Source organism: Homo sapiens, chromosome 2, assembly GCF_000001405.40.
Source record: "Homo sapiens chromosome 2, GRCh38.p14 Primary Assembly".
Classification (NCBI taxonomy): Eukaryota; Metazoa; Chordata; class Mammalia; order Primates; family Hominidae; genus Homo; species Homo sapiens.
This window is the reverse complement of record NC_000002.12, coordinates 22517635-22517938: the sequence shown is the minus strand read 5'-3', so window position 1 is coordinate 22517938 and position 304 is coordinate 22517635.

Below are 304 nucleotides of genomic sequence, written 5' to 3'. Positions count from 1 at the left end.
CAATAGTCTCTGGATTTATTAAATTTCTCTTTTAATACTTGCAGATCATATTTTTGTAACACTTCTTATTCATAGCATATTCTCAAACATTTCATTTGATATAGCCAGGTAAGGTGGGGAGGAAAAGTAGCTTCTAAAAACGTGTTTCCATTTTCTTTTGGGAAATCTGAGGTTAGAGAGGTGAAGGGGTTTAAAAAGTCCAACAGTAGCATAAAAGTTAGAACCACAGTTTACTGATACTAACTTTTGTTATGTACCATCTCTGATAAAAACTCACATCTCTTAAATTCTGTTAACAGATAAT